This window comes from Homo sapiens, chromosome 5, assembly GCF_000001405.40.
Source record: "Homo sapiens chromosome 5, GRCh38.p14 Primary Assembly".
NCBI classification, from domain to species: Eukaryota; Metazoa; Chordata; class Mammalia; order Primates; family Hominidae; genus Homo; species Homo sapiens.
Genome location: NC_000005.10, coordinates 53,726,724 through 53,746,697, shown reverse-complemented (window position 1 = coordinate 53,746,697; position 19,974 = coordinate 53,726,724).

The following is a 19,974-nucleotide window of genomic DNA, read 5'->3' as shown; positions in this document are numbered from 1 at the left end:
AGTGTTACCAGTGAGTTTTATAGTTTTATATATTGTCTTTTTTTAAAAAAAAACTATTTTTCTTATGAGGACCATCTCTAGAATCCAGGAAGTCTCTGGATCTGAGGGATGGAAAGTTCTTCCTGCTATGAATGAGAGTGGACTCTTCCCATCACCCCCAACTGAAACCACAAACACCCAGAATTTTCTGGGATTCTGACTTAGAGTCCTTGTTATATAAGACCTTGTTGCTATGGAACATGAAACTGTGTCTGTCAGATGGAGAGATTCCCTTAACTTAAGAGCCTTAAATAGCCCTGAAAGTACTCCAGAATGGAATTTGCAATGGAATTAAAATTAGAAGTGAATATTTTTGGTGCCCTTGAAGCTTTCTGGGGACTCAAAATTATCAAGAGTCAGGGACAGTCCAGAGGAAGAGCGTCTGCAAAACTGGGTTCCTAGAAGTACGGACAGACGTGGCTTTTTGTAGAACTTGGTAGGGAGCAGCACCTCATGAGAGCAGAATGGCCTGGCGTGGCCAGTGCTTCCCGGCAGCACGCAGCTCTGCCGGCCTCCAGAACTCCCCCGTTCTGAGCTTGATGCCCCTAGCCTGTCCCCTGCCTATTTCCTCCCCTCCCCTCTAGCCCTCTCACAGGGGTGATTGATACCTTTCACTTTTCTTGGGCCTAGGCAAGTTTTAGAGGAGTTCCCAAGCATTGTCATGAGGCCAGTGTGCTCGAGGCCAGTGTGCTCGCTGGGCAGGATGGCCTGGGCTTGTGCGTGGCCCGAGGGCTCTCCTAGGGCCTTCCCTTTTCCCAGTCACCGTCTGAGCCACAGAAGCAGTGCATTCATTGGATGCACTTAACATAGCTTCTGTTCTTAACATAGCTTCTCTTTCTACGTTAAAAAAAATCATTATTGCATTTTGGAAAGCAGTGCTCGTCAAAAGCAACTTTTAGGACCTATTTTATTGTCCCTTTAAATGTTCTCTTCCACTGAAACTGGCCTGGAGAGGCTAGCCGCTGCTCTTCCATTTCCCCACATCAGGGTATTCTCCATGTCACTGAGTGGAGATGACTCCAGATGTGTTTAAAGACTGGACAATTCACCTATACTGTGTAGGAAATTACCTCCTTAATTACCTGGTAGAATTGTGAGCAGACATGTTCATCCGATGATAGTACTGCAGTTTTCTATTAATAATTTGCAGACTTTAACCTGCTTTCATGTACAGATTATTAAAAGTTTTAAAATGTAACTGATCAGTATTGATCAATCATTGTCTTGATTTTTTTTTTACAGTGTATATTTCTAATCATATTTTTTAAAGCCAAGAGAACTGGTTGAATGAATGTTTATTTTCCTGAAGGTATTTTTAAGATAAAGCTTCCTAATGGCCTGTAAACTTTGCATATGTATGTAGTTTGATACATATTGTCACATCTGAAAATCTTGTGAGTTGTAACTGGTTTTATACAAAATATCGAATAGTGGAAATTGTTTAATTACAATCATGTAATTAAAAATATTAATCCCCCAAAAATTTAATTTTTATTTTTCCATAAGTTATTGGGGTATTGGGGTATGGGTGGTATTTGGTTACATAAGTTTTTTAGCGGTGATTTGTGAGATTTTTGGTGCACCATCACCCGAGCAGTATACACTGCACCATATTTGTAGTCTTTTATCCCTCACCCCCTCCCATCCTTCCCCCCAAGTCCCCAAAGTCCATTGTATCATTCTTATGCCTTTGCATCCTCATAGCTTAGCTCCCACATATCAGTGAGAACATACAATGTTTGGTTTTCCATTCCTGAGTTACATCACTTAGAATAATAGTATCTCATCCAGGTCACTGCAAATGCATTATTCATTCCTTTTGATGGCTGCATGGTATTCCATTTTGTGTGTGTGCGTGTATGTGTGTGTGTGTGTGTGGAGATATATATATCTATATATATATATAGATATATATAGATGTATATATATATAGATGTATATATAGATGTATATATATATAGATGTGTATATCTATATATAGATATAGATATAGATATATATACCTCACAGTTTCTTTATCCACTCATTGATTGATGGGCATTTAGTTGGTTCCATGATTTAGCAGTTGTGAATTGTGCTGCTATAAACATGCATGTGCAAGTATCTTTTTTAAATAATGACTTATTTTCCTCTGGATAAATACCTAGTAGTGGGATTGCTGGATCAAATGGTAATTCTACTTTAAGTTCTTTATGGAATCTCCACACCGTTTTCCATAGTGGCTGTACTGGTTTACATTCCCACCAGCAGTGTAGAAGTGTTTCCTGTTCACCACATCCATGCCAACATCTACTGTTTTTTTTTTTATTTTTTTGATTATGGCCATTCTTGCAGGAGTGAGGTAGTATTGCATTGTGGTTTTGATTTGCATTTCCCTGAGCATTAGTGATGTTGGGCATTTTTTCATGTATTTGTTGCCATTTGTATATCTTCTTTTGAGAACTGTCTATTCAGGTCCTTAGCCCACTTTTTGATGGGATTGTTTTTTTCTTACTGATTTGAGTTCGTTGTAGATTCTGGATATTAGTCATTTGTTAGATGTATAGATTGTGAAGATTTTCTCCCACTCTGTGGTTGTCTGTTTACTCTGCTGACTGTTCCCTTTGCCGTGCAAAACTCCTTAGTTTAATTAGGTCCCAGCTATTTATCTTTGTTTTTATTGCATTTGCTTTTGGGCTCTTGGTCATGAAATCCTTGCCTAAGCCGATGTCTAGAAGGGTTTTTCCAATGTTATCTTCTAGAATTTTTACAGTTTCAGATCTAAGGTTTAAGTCCTTAATCCATCTTGAGGTGATTTTTATATAAAATAAGAGATGAGGATCCAGTTTCATTCTCCTACATGTGGCTAGCCAATTATGCCAGCACCATTTGTTGAAAAGGGTGTCCTTTCCCCACTTTATGTTTTTGTTTGCTTTGTCAAAGATCAATTGGCTGTTTAAGTATTTGAGTTTATTTCTGGGTTCTCTATTCTGTTTCATTGGTCTGTGTTCCTGTCAATGCTGTTTCTATACCAGTTCCATGGGGTTTTGGTGACTATGGCCTTAAGTATAGTTTGAAATCAGGTAGTGTGATGACTCCCGATTTGTTCTTTTTGCTTAGTCTTGTTTGTCTGTGTGGGCTCTTTTTTTGATTCATATGAATTTTAGAATTATTATTTCTAATTCTGTGAAGAATGATGGTGGTATTCTAATGGAGATTACATTGAGTTTGTGGATTGCTTTTGTCCTATGGTCATTTTCACAATATTGATTCTACCCATCCATGAGCATGGGATATGTTTCCATTTGCTTGTGTTGGCTATGATTTCTTTTAGCAGTGTTTTGTAGTTTTCCTTGTAGAGATCTTTTGACTCCTTTGTTAGGTATATTCCTAAGTATTATATTAATTTATTTTGCAGCTACTGTAAAAGGGATCGAGTTCTTGATTTAATTCTCTGCTTGGTTGCTCTTGCTGTATATAAGAGCTACTGATTTGTGTACACTAATCTTGTATCTGGAAACTTTGCTGAATTCTTTTGTCAATTCTAGGAGCTTTCTAGAGGAGTCCTTAGGGTTTTCAAGGTAAACAATCACATCATCATCAAACAATAGCAGTATGACTTCCTCTTTACCAATTTGGATGCCCTTTATTTCTTTTTCTTGTTGAATGCTCTGCCTGGGACTTCCAGTACATGTTGCAGAGGAGTGGTGAGAGTGGACATCCTTTCTTGTTTCAGTTGTCAGAAGGAACGCTTTCAACTTTTCCCCATTCAGTATTATGTTGGCTTTGGGTTTCTCATAGATGGCTTTTATTACATTAAGTTATGTCCCTTGTGTGCTGATTTTGCTGAGAGTTTTAATCCTAAAGTGATGCTGGGTTTTGTCAAATGCTTTTTCTGCATCTATTGAGATGATCATGTGATTTTTGTTTTTAATTCTGTTTTTGTAGTGTATCACATTTATTGACTTGCATATGTTAAACCATCCCTGTATCCCTGGTATGAAACCCAATTAATTATGGTGGATTATCTTTTTGATATGTTGTTGGATTTGGTTAGCTAGTATTTTGTTAAGGATTTTAGCATCTATGTTCATCAAGGATATCAGTCTGTTGTTTTCTTTTTTGGTTATGTCCTTTCCTGGTTTTGGTACTGGGGTGATGCTGGCTTCATAGAATGAATTGGCGAGGGTTCCTTCTTTCTCTATCTTGTGGAATAGTGTCAAAAGGATTGGTATGAATTCTTCTTTGAATATCTTGTAGAATTTTTCTGTGAATCCATCTGGTCCTGGACTATTTTTTGTTGGTAATTTTTTAATTACCATTTTAATCTCTCTGCTTGTTATTGGTATGTTCAGGTTATCTAATTCTTCTTTATTTAAGCTAGGTGGGTTGTATTTTTCCAGGAATTTTTCCATCACTTCTAGGTTTTCTAGTTTATATGCATAAAGGTGTTCATAGTAGTCTTGAATGATTTTTTGTATTACAGTGGTGTCAGTTGTAATATCTCCTGTTTCATTTCTTAGTGAGGTTATTTGGATTTTCTCTGTTCTGTTCTTGGTTAATGTTGCTAATGGTCTATCAATTTTATTTATCTTTTTAAAGAACCAGCTTTTTGTTTCATTTATCTTTTATATTTTTTGTTTCAATTTTATTTAGTTCTGCTCTGATCTTGGTTATTTCCTTTCTTCTGCTGGGTTTGGGTTTGGTTTGTTCTTATTTCTCTAGTTCCTCAAGGTGTGACCTTAGATTTTCTGTTTGTGCTCTTTCAGGCATTTTGATGTAGGCATTTTGATGTAGGCATTTAGGGCTATGAACTTTCGTCTTAGCACCACTTTTGCTGTATCCCAGAGGTTTTGATAGGTTGTGTCATTATTGTCATTCAGTTTGAAAAATTTTTAAATTTCCATCTTGATTTCATTTTTGACCCAGTGCTCATTCAGGAGCAGGTTATTTAATTTCCATGTATTTGCATGGTTTTGAAGGTTCCTTTTGGAGTTGATTTCCAGTTTTATTCCACTGTGGTGTGAGAGAGTGCTTGATATAATTTCAATTTTCTTAAATTTACTGAGGCTCAATTTATGACCTATCATATGGTCTATCTTGGAGAAAGCTCCATGCACTGTTGAATAGAATGTGTATTGTGCAGTTGTTAGATGAGTTCTGTATATATCTGTTAAGTTCATTCGTTCCAAGGTATAATTTAAATCCATTGTTTCTTTGTTGACTTTCTGTCTTGATGACCTGTCCGGTGCTTTCAGTAGAGTATTGAAGTCCCCTACTATTATTGTGTTGCTGTCTATCTGATTTCTTAGGTCTGTTAGTAATTGTTTTGTAAATTAGGGAGCTCCAGTGTTAGGTTCATATATGTTTAGGATTGTGATATTTTCCTGTTGGACAAGGCCTTTTACCATTATGTACTGGCCCTCTTTGCCTCTTTTAACTGCTGTTGCCTTAAAATTTGTTTTGTCTGATATAAGAATAGCTATCCCTGCTTGCTTTGGATGTCTGTTTGCATGAAATGTCTTTTTCCACCCCTTTACTTTAAGCTTATGTGAGTCCTTATGTGTTAGATGAGTCTCCTGAAGGCAGCAGATAGTTGATTGGTGAGTTCTTATCCATTCTGCAGTTCTGTATCTTTTAAGTGGAGCATTTAGGCCATTTACATTCAATGTTAGTATTGAAAATGTGGGGTACCATTGCTTTCATCGTGCTTTTTGTTGCCTGTGTACTTTGGTTTTTTGTTTTTGATTTTTAACTTGTATTTTTGTTTTATAGGTCCTGTGTGATTTATGCTTTAAATAGGTTCCATTTTGACGTGTTTCCAGGATTTGTTTCAAGATTTAGAGCTCCTTTTAGCAGTTCTTGTGGTGGTGGTTTGGTAATGGTGAATTCTCTCAGCATTTGTCTGAAAACGACTGTATCTTTCCTTCATATATGATACTTAGTTTTGCTAGATACAAAATTCTTGGCTGATAATTGTTTTGTTTGAGGAGGCTAAAGATAGATGCCCAAGCCTTTCTAGCTTGTAGGGTTTCTGCTGAGAAATATGCTGTTAATCTGATAGGTTTTCCTTTAAAGTTACCTGATGCTTCCGTCTCAAATCTCTTACGATTCTTTCCTTTGTCTTGACTTTGGATAACCTGATGACAATGTGCCTAGGTGAAGATCTTTTTGCAATGAATTTCCCAGATGTTCTTTGTGCTTCTTGTATTTGGATGTCTAGGTCTCTCATAAGGCTGGGGAAGTTTTCCTCAATTATTCCCCCAAATATGTTTTCTGGACTTTTAGAATTACCTTCTTCCTCAGGTATACCAATTATTCTTAGGTTTGGTCATTTAACATAATCTCAGACTTCTTGGAGTCTTTGTTCATATTTTCTTATTCTTTTTTCTTTGCCTTTGTTGGATTGGGTTAATTCGAAGGCCTTGTCTTTGAGCTCTGAATTTTTACTTATTCAATTCTATTGCTGAGACTGTCCAGAGCATTCTGCATTTCTAAAAGTGGATCCAAAGTTTCCTGAATTTTTTATTATTTTTTCTTTAAGCTATCTGTTTCCATGAGTATTTCTCCCTTTGCTTCTTATATCATTTTTTGGGGGGTTTCCTTGCATTGGGCTTCACTTTTCTCTTGTCCCTCCCTGATTAGCTTAATAACTAACCTTCTGAATTCTTTTTCAGGTAAATCAGGGGTTTCTTCCTTGTTTGAATCCTTTGCTGGTGAACTAGTGTGATTTTTTGGGGGGCATGAAGAGCCTTGTTTGTCATTTAACCAGGGTTGGTTTTCTGGTTCCTTCTCATTGGGATAGGCTCTGTCAGAGGGAAGGTCTAGGGCTGAAGGCTGTTGTTCAGATTATTTTGTCCCACGGGGTGTTCACTTGATGTAGTATTCTCTCCTTTTTCCTATAGATGTGACTTCCTGTGAGCCAAACTGCAGTGTTTGTTGTCTCTCTTCTGGGTCTAGTCACCCAGTGAATCTACCTGGCTCCGGGCTGGTACTGAGTGTTGTCTGCACAGAGTCCTGTGATGTAAACTGTCTATGGGTTTCTGATCTGTGGATACCAGCGCCTGTTCCAGGGGAGATGGTGGAGTGTGCAGTGGACTCCATGAGGGTCCTTAGCTTTGGTGGTTTAATGCTCTATTTTTGTGCTGGTTGGCCTCCTGCCAGGAAGTTTTTGCTTTCCAGAAAGCATCAGCTATAGTAGTTACGGAAAGGGACCGGTGGTGGGCAGGGCCCTGGAACTCCCAAGATTATATTCCCTTTGTCTTCCACTACCAGGGTGGATCGGGAAGCACCATCAGGTGGGGACAGGGCTAGGCATGTCTGAGCTCAGGCTCACCTTGGGTGGGTCTTGCTGCAGCTGCTGTGGTGAGTGGGATGACATTCCCAGGTCACTGGAGTTGTGTACCTAGGAGGATTATGGCTGCCTGTGCTGAGTCATGCAGGTTGTCAGGAAAGTGGGAGAAAGCTGACCGTCATAGGCCTCACTTAGTTCCCATGCAAACAGGGGCCAGCCTCACTACCACCATACCCTCAACCCTGCCTGCCAATAGCCCCAAGTCTGTTTCCAGGCAGACTTTGAACATATTATCCCATTCTGCTGGTCTGCAAGGTTTCTGTTGAGAAATTTGCTTAGAGTCTTATGGGGATTTTGATTGCATGAAATGAATTGCTTTTCTCTTGTTGCTTTCAAAATTCCCTCTGTCATCGACCTTTTTTTTTTTTTTTTTTTTTTGAGATGGAGTCTTATTCTTCTGTCACCCAGGCTGGAGTGCAATAGTGTGATCTTGGTTCACTGTAACCTCCACCTCCCAGGTTCAAGTGATTCTACTGCCTCAGCCTCCTGAGTAGCTGGGATTACAGGTGTGTGCCACAACGCCTGGCTAATTTTTGGATTTTTAGTAGATATGGGGTTTTGCCATTTTGGTCAGGCTATTCTTGAACTCCTGACCTCAAGTGATCTGCATGCCTCAGCCTCCTGAAGTGCTGGGATTACAGGCATGAGCCACTGACTTTTGACAATTTGTTTATAAAATGTCATGCTGAAAACTTCTTTATGGTCAGTCTATTTGTAGTTCTTTTGGATTCATAAATCTAACTGTTCATTTCCCTCCCCAAATTTGGTAATTTTTTTGTCATTATTTTTAAAAATAAGCTTTCTATTCCTTTATCTTTCTTTGCTCCTTTTGAGAATCCCACAGTGGATATGTTGGTCAATTGATGGTGTTTCATAAGTTCCATAGGCTTTCTTCACTGTTTTTCATTCTTTTTCACTTTGTTCCTCGACTGAATAATTTCAAATGACATGAATTTAGTTAGCTGATTCTTTCTTCTGCTTGGTCAATTCTGCTGTTGAAACTGTTGTATTTTTTAGTTGAGTCATCGTATTCTTCAGCTTCAGAGTTTCTGTTTGGTTCTTTATTATTATTATTTTTTTGTTAAAGAAAATTTTTCGTGTATTGTTTTCTTGATTTCTGTAGTTGCTTATCTGTGCTCTCTTATAGCTCACTGAACTTTTTTTGTTATACTTTTTTTTTACAATTCAAACTTTATTCTTTAAATCAAAAAAGTAAAGGAAAATTACAACATTAAATCCTAGAATAAAATATTTGATGATTATACATACAAAATAGCATAATTAAAAAATTCTTAGTAAAAGGGAAAAATTCTGCAAATATACTAATCAACAAAAACATTAGAAGTATTTCAATAAAGTTAAAAGAGGGAGTGGACTGGCCTCTCACAATTCACTACTGTGTGAGATGTCTGAGTGGGGACCAAAACAAGGAAGAGAAAAAAAAACCAGGAAAGAAGCTGATTCAAAAACTCTGATTTGTAGTTATTCACAGAAGACATGGATGTTAACTAGAAAAGCAAGAAAATATATTTTACTCTCAGAACATGAACTGTTAGAATAACAACATCCAGAAAATTGGGTAAATGCATGGTCAAAATACTACTCTTCAGTAGTAATAATGGATAAACAACAAGAATAACAACAGCATAACATAGACAATCAACATCTATCTTGATTAGCAAATATACCAAAAAAATACATTTTCTTTTTTTTTCATTTTACCTAGTTCTTTTATCTCCTTTTAATATACTTTAAGTTCTGGGATACATATGCAGAACGTGCAGTTGCCACAGTGGTTTGCTGCACCCATCAACCTGTCATCTACATTAGATATTTCTCCTAATGCTATCCCTTCCCTAGTCCCTCACCCCCTGACAGGCCCTGCTGTGTGATGTTCCCCTTCCTGTGTCCATGTGTTCTCATTGTTCAACTCTCACTTATGGGTGAGAACACATGGTGTTTGGTTTTCTGTTCCTGTGTTAATTTGCTGAGAATAATGGTTTCCAGCTTCATCCATGTTCCTGCAAAGGACATGAACTCATCCTTTTTTACAGCTGCATAGTATTCCATGGTGTATATGTGCCACATTTTCTTTATCCAGTCTATCATTGATGGGCATTTCGGTTAGTTCCAAGTCTTTGCTATTGTGAATAGTGCTGCAATAAACATATGTGTGCATATGTCTTTATAGTAGAATGATTTATAATCCTTTGGGTATATGCCCAGTAAAGGGATTGCTGGATCAAATGGTATTTCTGGTTCCAGATCCTTGAGGAAGCACCACATTGTCTTCCATAATGGTTGAACTAATTGACACTCCCACCAACAGTGTAAAAGTATTCCTATTTCTCCACATCCTCTCCAGCATCTGTTGTTTCCTGATTTTTAAATGATCACCATTCTAACGGGCATGAGATGGTATCTCATTGTGGTTTTGATTTGCATTTCTCTAAGGACCAGTGATGATGAGCATTTTTTCATATGTTGGCCGCATAAATGTCTTCTTTTGAAAAGAGTCTGTCTGTTCATATACTTCGTCCGCTTTCCAATGACAAAAACCACATGATTATTTCAATAGATGCAGAAAAGGCCTTCAATAAAATTCAAAACTCACTTCATGCTAAGAACTCTAAATAAACTAGGTATTGATGGAACGTATCTCAAAATAGTAAGCGTTATTTATGACAAACCCACAGCCAATATCACACTGAATGGGCAAAAGCTGGAAGCATTCCCTTTCAAAACTGGCACAAGACAAGGATGCCCTCTCTCACCACTCCTATTCAACATAGTTTTGGAAGTTCTGGCCACAGCAATCAGGCAAGAGAAAGAAACAAAGGGTATTCAAATAGGAAAAGAGAAGTCAAATTGTCTCTGTTTGCAGATGACATGAGTGTGTATTTAGAAAACCCCATCGTCTCAGCCCAAAATCTCCTTAAACTGATAAGCAACCTCAGCAAAGTCTCAGGATACAAAATCAGCATGCAAAAATCACAAGCATTCCTATACACCAATCATATACAGAGACCCAAATCATGAGTGAACTCCCATTCACAATTGGTACAAAGAGAATAAAATACCTGGGAATATAATTTACAAGGGATGTGAAGGACCTCTTCAAGGAGAACTACAAACCACTGCTCAAGGAAATAAGACAATACACAAACAAATGGAAAAACATTCCATGATCATGGATAGGAAGAATCAATATCATGAAAACGGCCATACTGCCCAAACTAATTTACAGATTCAATGTTACCAATGACTTTCTTCACAGAATTAGAAAAAACTACTTTAAATTTCATATGGAACCAAAAAAGAGCCCACATAAGCCAAGACAGTCCTAAGCAAATAGAACAAAGCTGAAGGCATCAGGCTACCTGACTTCAAACTAAACTATAAGGCTGCAGTAACCAAAACAGCATGGTACTGGTACCAAAACAGATATACAGACCAATGGAACAGAACAGAGGCCTCAGAAATAACACCACACATCTACAACCATCTTATCTTTGACAAACCTGACAAAAACAAGCAATGGGGAAGGATTCCCTATCTAATAAATGGTATTAAGAAAACTGGCTAGCCATATGCAGAAAACTGAAACTGGACCCCTTTCTTACACCTTATATAAAAATTAACTCAAGATGGATTCAAGACTTAAACATAAGACTTAAAATCATGAAAACCCTAGAAGAAAGCCTACCCAATACCATTGAAGACCTAGTTATGGGCAAGGACTTCATGACTAAAACACCAAAAACAATTGCAACAAAAGCCAAAATTGACAAATGGGATCAAATTAAACTAAAGAGCTTCTGCACAGCAAAAGAAACTATCAGCAGAGTAAACAGGCAACCTACAGGATGGGAGAAAGTTTTTGCAATCTATCCATCTGACAAAGGGCTAATATCCAGAATCTACAAGGAACATAAATAAATGTACAAGAAAAAAAGCTCACTGAACTTCTTTAACATGATTATTTTGAATTCTTTTTCAGGTAATGCATAGATTTTCATTTATTTGTGGTCAGCCACTGGAGATTTATTTTGTCTCTGGTGGTATCATGTTTCCTTGATTTTGTATGTATGCTTCTGGAAATTTGCACTGCTGTCTTGGCATTTGAAGTAGTCACTTCCTCTAGTCTTTACTGACTGGCTTCAGGAGAGAAATATCTTCTCCAGTCAGCCCAGCTAGAATCTAGGGGTTTCTCATACCTTTTACCTGGATGTGCTTACTCCACTACTCCTTTGTTTTCTCTTGAAGGGGGCATCTTAGGATTGTGTGCTTTCTCTCAATATTGCAAATCTAATAGGGTGCTGAAAGTCTCCTGCTTATTTATCATAGGACAGTGCCCTTGAATGTTTAAGGTTTTGTGCTTTTTTCCAACTAAGCAGAGTTGAGTTATCAGCTTATATCCATGTGAATTCTGTGGAGAATTGCATGCAGTGGTTATGGGGAGAAAGAAAGTGGTGCACAATGCTGGGGACACTTGTTGGCTAGTTAGTAGGAGGTGGTCTCCCAATAAGGTGTCTAAGAGCTTGTGGTTAGGCTCTTAGGTCCATGTGTCTGTTAGTAGAATCTGTGCTGATTCTTGAGATCTGCATGCTGGTTGCTATGATTCCCTGTCCATTTTCACTGCTCCTAGTTGTCTTCAGATGATTTAGCTATGTTGATCTCAGTGTTCTGGGTAGACAATACAGAAGTGGGTCTCTTGAACAGTATGTCATAAGACTGGGGAACTTGGGCACTTATTTCACTCTCTTTCCCAAGAAAGAAATTGTAGATTAAAGGGGTCTGTATTGGCAGAGTTGTGCTACCTGAAGGAGGAGTGATGCACATAAAGTGAAACTGTTCTTTTTACCTTCTATGCATCTATACTTGGATTTTTTGGCTCCACTAGGGTGGTGGAACCTCTGAGCTGGACTATGTGCATCACATAAACATATTATTCTCATGGGTAGGTTGTTCAAATCAGTGTTTCTGTGGGGGCTTGAATACAGGAACCTCCTATTCTACCACCTTCTAGATGTCACTTCTTTGTTTTAAATAGTGTCCCTGCTTTTTTCATGTTCTGTTGCTAATAAAGTTAACCCTGTCGGGCAGGGTCAAGGAGCTGCCACTCTTACATCATGCTATGTCCATCCTGGACAGACCTGTCACAACACAAGGCAGAGCCATGAGGGTAGGAATGAGAGCTACTGCTCTTCCCAACCTGCTGCAGCCTCTCCTGGAGTGACACCTGTGTGCTATGTCTGGAACTGCTGAGGGAGGATGGTAGCTACCAGTCCTCATGGCCTGCCCATCTGCACAGTATAGAATTTCTGCAACATGGAGATGGAGAAGATAGGAGCAACCCCTGGCATGAATGACACAGACTCACACTTTTCTTACTGAGATGCAGCAGATTTTCTGAGCAGATGTTTTTCAATTTGTTACATGCCCTGTGGTCAGTTTCTAGAGACTTTATTTTTTATTATTAATTAACTAATTTATGTATTCATCCAATTTTATCACTGTTTCTTTGAGAAGAGGATCTGTTAACTTTCTCATATAGGCATTTCAGAATTCCTGCTTCCTAATTAAATCTTGCCTATAATGATCACAAATTTCTGATTTTCCAATTCTAGCATTCTTTCTGTATTTACCACTCAGGATTTGGCATTTTACAAGCAAGAGCCCTCATCTCTTCCCCATTGTTTATCTCTATTTATTATCAGTATAGATTCATGAGTTCTTATTTTTCACTCCAATGGTTTATATTTTGTTACTGTACAGAAATTTTTGTTTAATTTTTTCAGATTTGACAAGTGGCAGCCCCTTTAATTTGGATCCTGTGTTCTTGTTCATTATCCTTTTGTAATGTGTTCTTGCTTTCTAGTATATCAAGATGTTCTAGACTGATCTCATATTTACCCTGCCCTAGCCCTAAGCTCAGTCATTTTTCTGAGAAGCTTTAATTCATTTCAGGGAGAGAGGATATTACAGATCAAGATCTTGATGCTAAATGTGCTATAGTCATGCTGAAGTGTCTTTGCTCATGCTCTTAAGTGGACAAAATTAGGAAACTTATGTATATGTAAATATACAAGTATACAGACACGCATAGACATATTTTAGAAATGGGTTTACATTTATTCCTCCGATTCCAGTTCGCCCCACAAAAGTTATTTCTTTCCTTTCCATGTTCCATATTAGTTTGTCCCTTCTTCTTCAGTAAAAACTCTGAATCTTAACAATATCAATACATTTATTCATTTGCTCAATCTTATAATACATCCAAATTTGTTTCAGAATTTTGTTGCCCGTACCACTATATTTTAAAATGCTACGAAAAAGAGTTAAGGATTTGTTTGAAATTCTCTCCCACTATCCCACCCAATCCAAGACTAGGTAAAAAGTAAAATAGTGGGTTCAAAGTAACTAGGATAAATTCATTCTTTTTTTCCTCTTCATTGTGGTTATGGTATTCATTTAAAATACATGCGGGACCATTTGGTCCAGTTTGCTTTACATTTTAGGACTTCTTTTTTCTCTTCTCACCCCTATTGATTTAATTTTTTAAAAAACATGTAGAACATTAGCATGCTTCCAAGAATCAAAATAATACTAAAAGATATATTTGGAGAGGTATCACTCACTCCCATATCCCTTCTGCATGTTTTTCTCCCATCCCTTTAGTAGGTAAAGGGTTTCATTGTTTTCTGGTTTTGTCTTTTTGTTACACAAAAGGCAACATTAATATGTAAGTATGTATATATGTGTGTGTGTGTATATATATACACACACACACATATCTGGGTCTCTGTGTGTATGTATATATGTGTGTATATATACTGTATATGTGAATATCTTATATACAGTGTGTGTGTGTACATATATATAACGTCTTGTACTTGTTCTTTCAGTAAGCAATGTCTTCTAGAAATCATACCATATCAGTTAATATGAAATTTTTTCTCATTCTTTTTTAAAAGCATCTATATAATACCCAGTTGTGTGGATGTTCCATAGTTTATTCATACAACTTCTTATGCTTAGATATTTAAGTAGTTCCCAACATTTTTCAATTACATTAATGCTGTAATCAGTTTGTGTATATGTATGTATTTTTATGTTTTCTGGAGGTGTATTTTAATATGTATTGGAGTTGTATCTTCAAGATAAATTCTTACAAGTATTATTATAAGTGCCTACAAGTATAAGTCTAAGAATATACATAGTTTGTTATCATTTAGCATTCTCACCAACAATGTACAAGAGTGCCTGTTTCTCTATAGCCTAAACAAAAGTATATTGTCGAGCTTTTGAACTTTTGTCTGTCAGCTGGGAGAAAAGTAAAATCTCAAGATAATTTTAAATAGCATTTTTCTTTATTATGATCACAATTACATCTTTACCTATGTTTAAGGGCCATTTTTATGCCTCTTCTTGTGAATCATCTGTTCGTGACTTTGACTCATTTTTCTGTAAGATTTTTTGGTCTGTCTCTCACCAATTCTTAAAAGTCCTTAGTACATTAGAAATCAGCTATTGAACTACAATATATGTTGCAAATATTTCCCCCAGTTTATTTGCTTTTTAACTTTGATTGTGGTTTATCATCTCAGATATTTATATTTTTATGAGGTCAAATGTATCACTTCTTTTATTACATCTGAATTTTGAGTCAGTTAAAAAGCCTTGAATTATAAGTAAAAAGCCTATTTTTACTGAGGCTATAGAAAAATTCACTCATGGTTTCTTCTAGAACTTACATAATTCCTGCCTTCCTTCCTCCCTCCTTCACTCCCTCTCTCCTTCCCTTCCCTTCTTATTTAGATCTCTGATCCATTTGGAGCTTATTCTTGTGTATGGTATGAGTGGTATGAGGAATGGATCAAATTTTATCTTTTTCAGTTGTCCTAACACCATTTATTAAAAAGATAATCTTTATCCCAAGCACTAAGAGAGATTACTTCCACCACATATTAATTTTTATATGTAGGTGGTTGTATTAGTTCATTCTCACACTGCTATAAAGAAATCCCTGAAACTGGGTAATTTATAAACAAAAGAAGTTTAATTGGCTCACAGTTCTTCAGGCTGTACAGGAAGCATGTGGCTTCCGCTTCTGGGGAGGCTTCAGGAAAGTTACAATGATAGCAGAAGGTGAAGGGGAAGCAGGCATGTCTTACATGACTGGAGCAGGAAGAGAGATGGGAGGTGCTAAACACTTCTAAACAGCCAGATCTTGTGAGAACTCACTCATTGGAACAGCACTAGGGGCATGGTGCTAAACAATTAGAAGCTGCCCCCATGAGTCAGTTACCTCCCATCAAACCCCACCTCTAACATTGGTGATTACATTTCAACATGAGATTTTGGTGGGGACACAAATCTCAGATCCAAACCATATCAGTGGTCTATTCTCAATTTTATATTCTATCCCATTAGCCTATCTATTCATGTTCCAGTACCAAATTGTTTTAGTTTTATAGAGGCTTTGTAGTATATCCTCCCTGACAGTTTTCTTTTGTTAGTGTTTTTTAAAGCTATTCTTATGTGTTTGTTTTTACATACAAACTTTAGGATCAAATTATTTAGATCCATGAAAAGTTTATTAGAATATTGAAATTTTGACTGGAATCAGATTAACTTTATAAATTAATTTAGGAAAAACTGACATCTTTATGATTTTGAGATATCCTATTAAAAAGGATAATTTCTCATTTATTCAAGTCTATTTTTGTATCTTTCATAAATGTTTTATAATTTTCTTCATAGAAATCTTGGATATCTCTTATTAAATTTATTCCTAAATATTTTATCTTTACTCTTCTTTATTGCTATTATGATCAGGGTTCTCTTGTCTATTATATCTTCTAACTGGTTATTGTTTGACCAGATGAATGCTGTCAGTTTTTTGTGTCAAACACATAACATTTGCCATTCCATCATTTTGTTTTTTTTGTTCCTGAGACAGTGCCGTAGCACTGTCTCAGCCCACTGCAACCTCCACCTTCTGGGTTCAAGAGATTCTCCTGCCTGCTCTCCCAAGTAGCTGGGATGACATGCATATGCCACCATGCCAAGCTAATTTTTGTATTTTTAGTAGAGACTGGGTATCATCATGTTGGCCAGGCTGGTCTTGAACTCCTGGCCTCAAGTGATCCATCCACCTTGGCCTCCCAAAGTGCTAGGATTACCGATGTGAACCACCATCCCCAGCCTACCATTCTGTCAAGTTTTAAGTATACAGTTCAGTAATGTTAAGTATGTTCACATTGTTGTGAAATAGATCTTCAGGGCTTTTTCATCTTGCAAAAAACATTTTTGGTCTTTACCATGAGAGCCTTGTTGAGTGTCTTTGAGGTAAACCCGAAGAAATATGGTGGCCTCACTGAAACTACGGTCTTAAAGAAGTTCTCATTCTCAAGCTAGTCTACACTCAACCTCCAGCAATTTGTCAAAATTATCTTTTAAATGATTCTGCCAGTTTATGTCTTCAGCAACTTTTCTAGGTAAGCTGATCTTGGCCATGACTCTCTGGGTTTGCTTGTCTCTTTAGATCTCGATGCCGTGGTTTACCTTGAAATCTACAACTTTTCTTGAATCTATCAGAGAACTTCAGTTGGTCTAGGTGGTCAGGTGTTCTAGTTCTCTCTTGTAAGGATGGAATGATAACTTTTAAGCTCTTTACATGTTGGAGCTAAGGCCAGAAGTCCCTCATAATTTTTGAAAGCATAAAGTGGTCCTAAGACCAAAGCATTTGAGAACCCTTGCTATATGCTATTATTAAATTATCTTTTTTAAAACTTAAAGAAATTTAAAATACAATCTACCTTTTAGCATTTAGCTGTTGCTGTTTTCCTCTTTGGAATTTCATCATTCTAACCATATATCTCTTTGAGAGTTGTATTCTAAAGCAAAGTGCGACATGGACTTGATCCTTCAGAAGCTTAACTGAAGCAGTTCTTCACTTACTCCATTTTAACCTTTATTTAACATGCAGTGACATTATATTATACACTCTTAGGAGTCCTTTCATACTGTTAAATATTTACTTAATTCATACTCATCTTATTGTCCTCTATGATCCTTTCTTTTTTTTTTTTTTTTTTTTTTTTTTTGAGACAGGGTCTTGCTCTGTCACCCAGGCTGGAGTGCAGTGGTGCAATCTCGGCTCACTGCACCCTCCACCTTCTGGGACTACAGGCATACCACCATGCCTGGCTAATTTTTGTATTTTTTGTAGAGGCAGGGTTTTGCCATGTTGTTCAGGCTGGTCTTGAACTCCTGAGCTCAAGCAATCTACCTGCCTCAGCTTCCCAAAGTGCTGGGATGAGAGGTATGAGCCACTGTGCCTAGCCAGTTTTCTTCTTTCTCTTGTAAAGTTCAGTCAGTCATTCCGTGTCTTACATGTCTATAATTTATATTTCCCAAGTGTACTGCTTTGTGTGTCCTTAGATGAAATGCCATTTGTAAGTAGGACTAAAGCATACTATTACTCGTGGCACATATTAGTTTAGGCTGATGTGGAAATCCCTAGGAGTCATTTGATAGTGTTGTATTTTCACAATGTTTCCCCCATTTAGGATTATAAACTGGTATCAAGAACACTTTTGTTTGGTGTTCATATTTGTAGGCTTTACTTTAAATGTTATTAACGCTTTTAGATTGGTTGATTCCTGCTTTTGTCAATCACTCTCACACTTAAAGGAATCTACTTACAAAGATACACTACAAACTTCTGACTTATCAATTAATGACAGTGACTAAAATGCAACTATTCATGAATTCTATCACTGTTAGCAAGAACAAAAGTGACATTCATTCTGAAGAGGTAACTGTTTAAATTATAAAGATAAACTGAAATTTACCTTGTGACTATCTTCTTTGATTTTAACAAAATATAATTTTCTTCCTTCATACATACTCTATCAAGATTTATAAAATCTTCAAATTTAAACTCATAAACATTTAGGAGCTGATAGTTACATATTGATATTGAAAAATGTCAGCAGATATTATATTGTAACCTATTGTTGGCATTTTTCTCTAGATGAAAAGATTTCACTTGAGTAAATTTGAGTTAGATACTATTAATGAAATGATACTATATCACTTTATATTCATACATTGTTTCCAACTCATTGCTTATCAATAAAACAATTAATTCAAGAATTCACAACAGGTTGTATTTTTGGGAAAAACCCTCAAACCATGCTTTTCCCTCTGCTCTCACACCACAACAATCACCTTCACATAAGACCTCTGATGAAATGTATGGTGGCTTTTCCCCACACACCAAGCAGTGGACACCAGCTTGGGTGTCCTCCAGAGATAGAGACAGATTCCACAGGTTGACAACTCAGTCCCACAAGACCACTCCCTCCTTCCCACCAGTCACAAGCCTGGACTTCCAAAACTTCTGATTGGCTTCAAGTTGGGGCTCCCCAGACCCCTGCTTTGAGTTCAATTAATTTACTTCAGTAGCTTACAGAAGTCAGGGAAACACTTATGCTTACCAGTTTATTATGATGGATATCTTAAAGGATACAAGTAAACAGCCAGATGGAGAGATATATAGGGTGAGGTTTGGGACAGTCCTGAGTACAGGAGCTACTGTCCTTGTGGAGTTGGGGGTTTGCCACCCTGCAGGCACATAGATGAGTACATCTTCCTGTCAACCTCCATGTGTTCAGTGCTTTGGGAGCTCTCTAACCCTGTCCTTTGGGCCTTTGATGGAGACTTTATTGATTGTCCATGATTGAAGCAGGGACAACTGTGTCAAAATGTGATTCAACAAAAAGAGTATTATCTAAACCCAGCGCATTAGTCTGTTCTCACATTGCTATAAAGAACTACCTGAAACTGGGTAATTTATAAAGAAAAAAGGTTTAATTGGCTCACAGTTCTTCAGTCTGTATGGGTAGGCTGGCTGGGGAAGGCCTCAGGAAACTTTCAGTCATGGTGCAAGGCAAAAGGGAAGCAGGTATATCTCCACATGAAGCAGGAGAGAGATAGTGAAGTGAGAAGTGCTACACACTTTTAAACAATGAGATCTTGTGAGAACTCAATCACTATCACAAGAACAGCAAGGGGGAAGTCTGCTCCCATGATCCATTCACCTCCCACTTCCAACACTGAAAGATTACAGTTCAACATGAGATTTGTGTGGGGACACAGAGCCAAACCAAATTACATTACCCAGCAATGCCTGCCTGTTCAGATTCCTCTTGGCCTCTCTGTGCAACATTCCTTCCTCCAGAATATGGGGCAGGACCCTCTCTGGAATAAGGGTCTTATGACCTACAATCAGGTTAGATTCCTTGTTTGGGCAGGAGAAGGTGAGAGAGAGAGAGTGATTGATTGATTCTGTTTCCTGAGGCCTGTTTCTGAGGCCTAAGACACCCCAACATTATAACAAAAGACTGTAACAAAGGTTATGGGAGCTATGAGCTAGGAACCATGGATGAAAATACATGTGTGTGTATATATATATATCTCACAGGTCAGTAGGTCTTCTTTATTCTCAATTATAAACACAACTTTGAATGTTAAACTGTACATTATTTTATTTAAATTCTTCTGATATCTGTAGACATCTTGCTTTATCT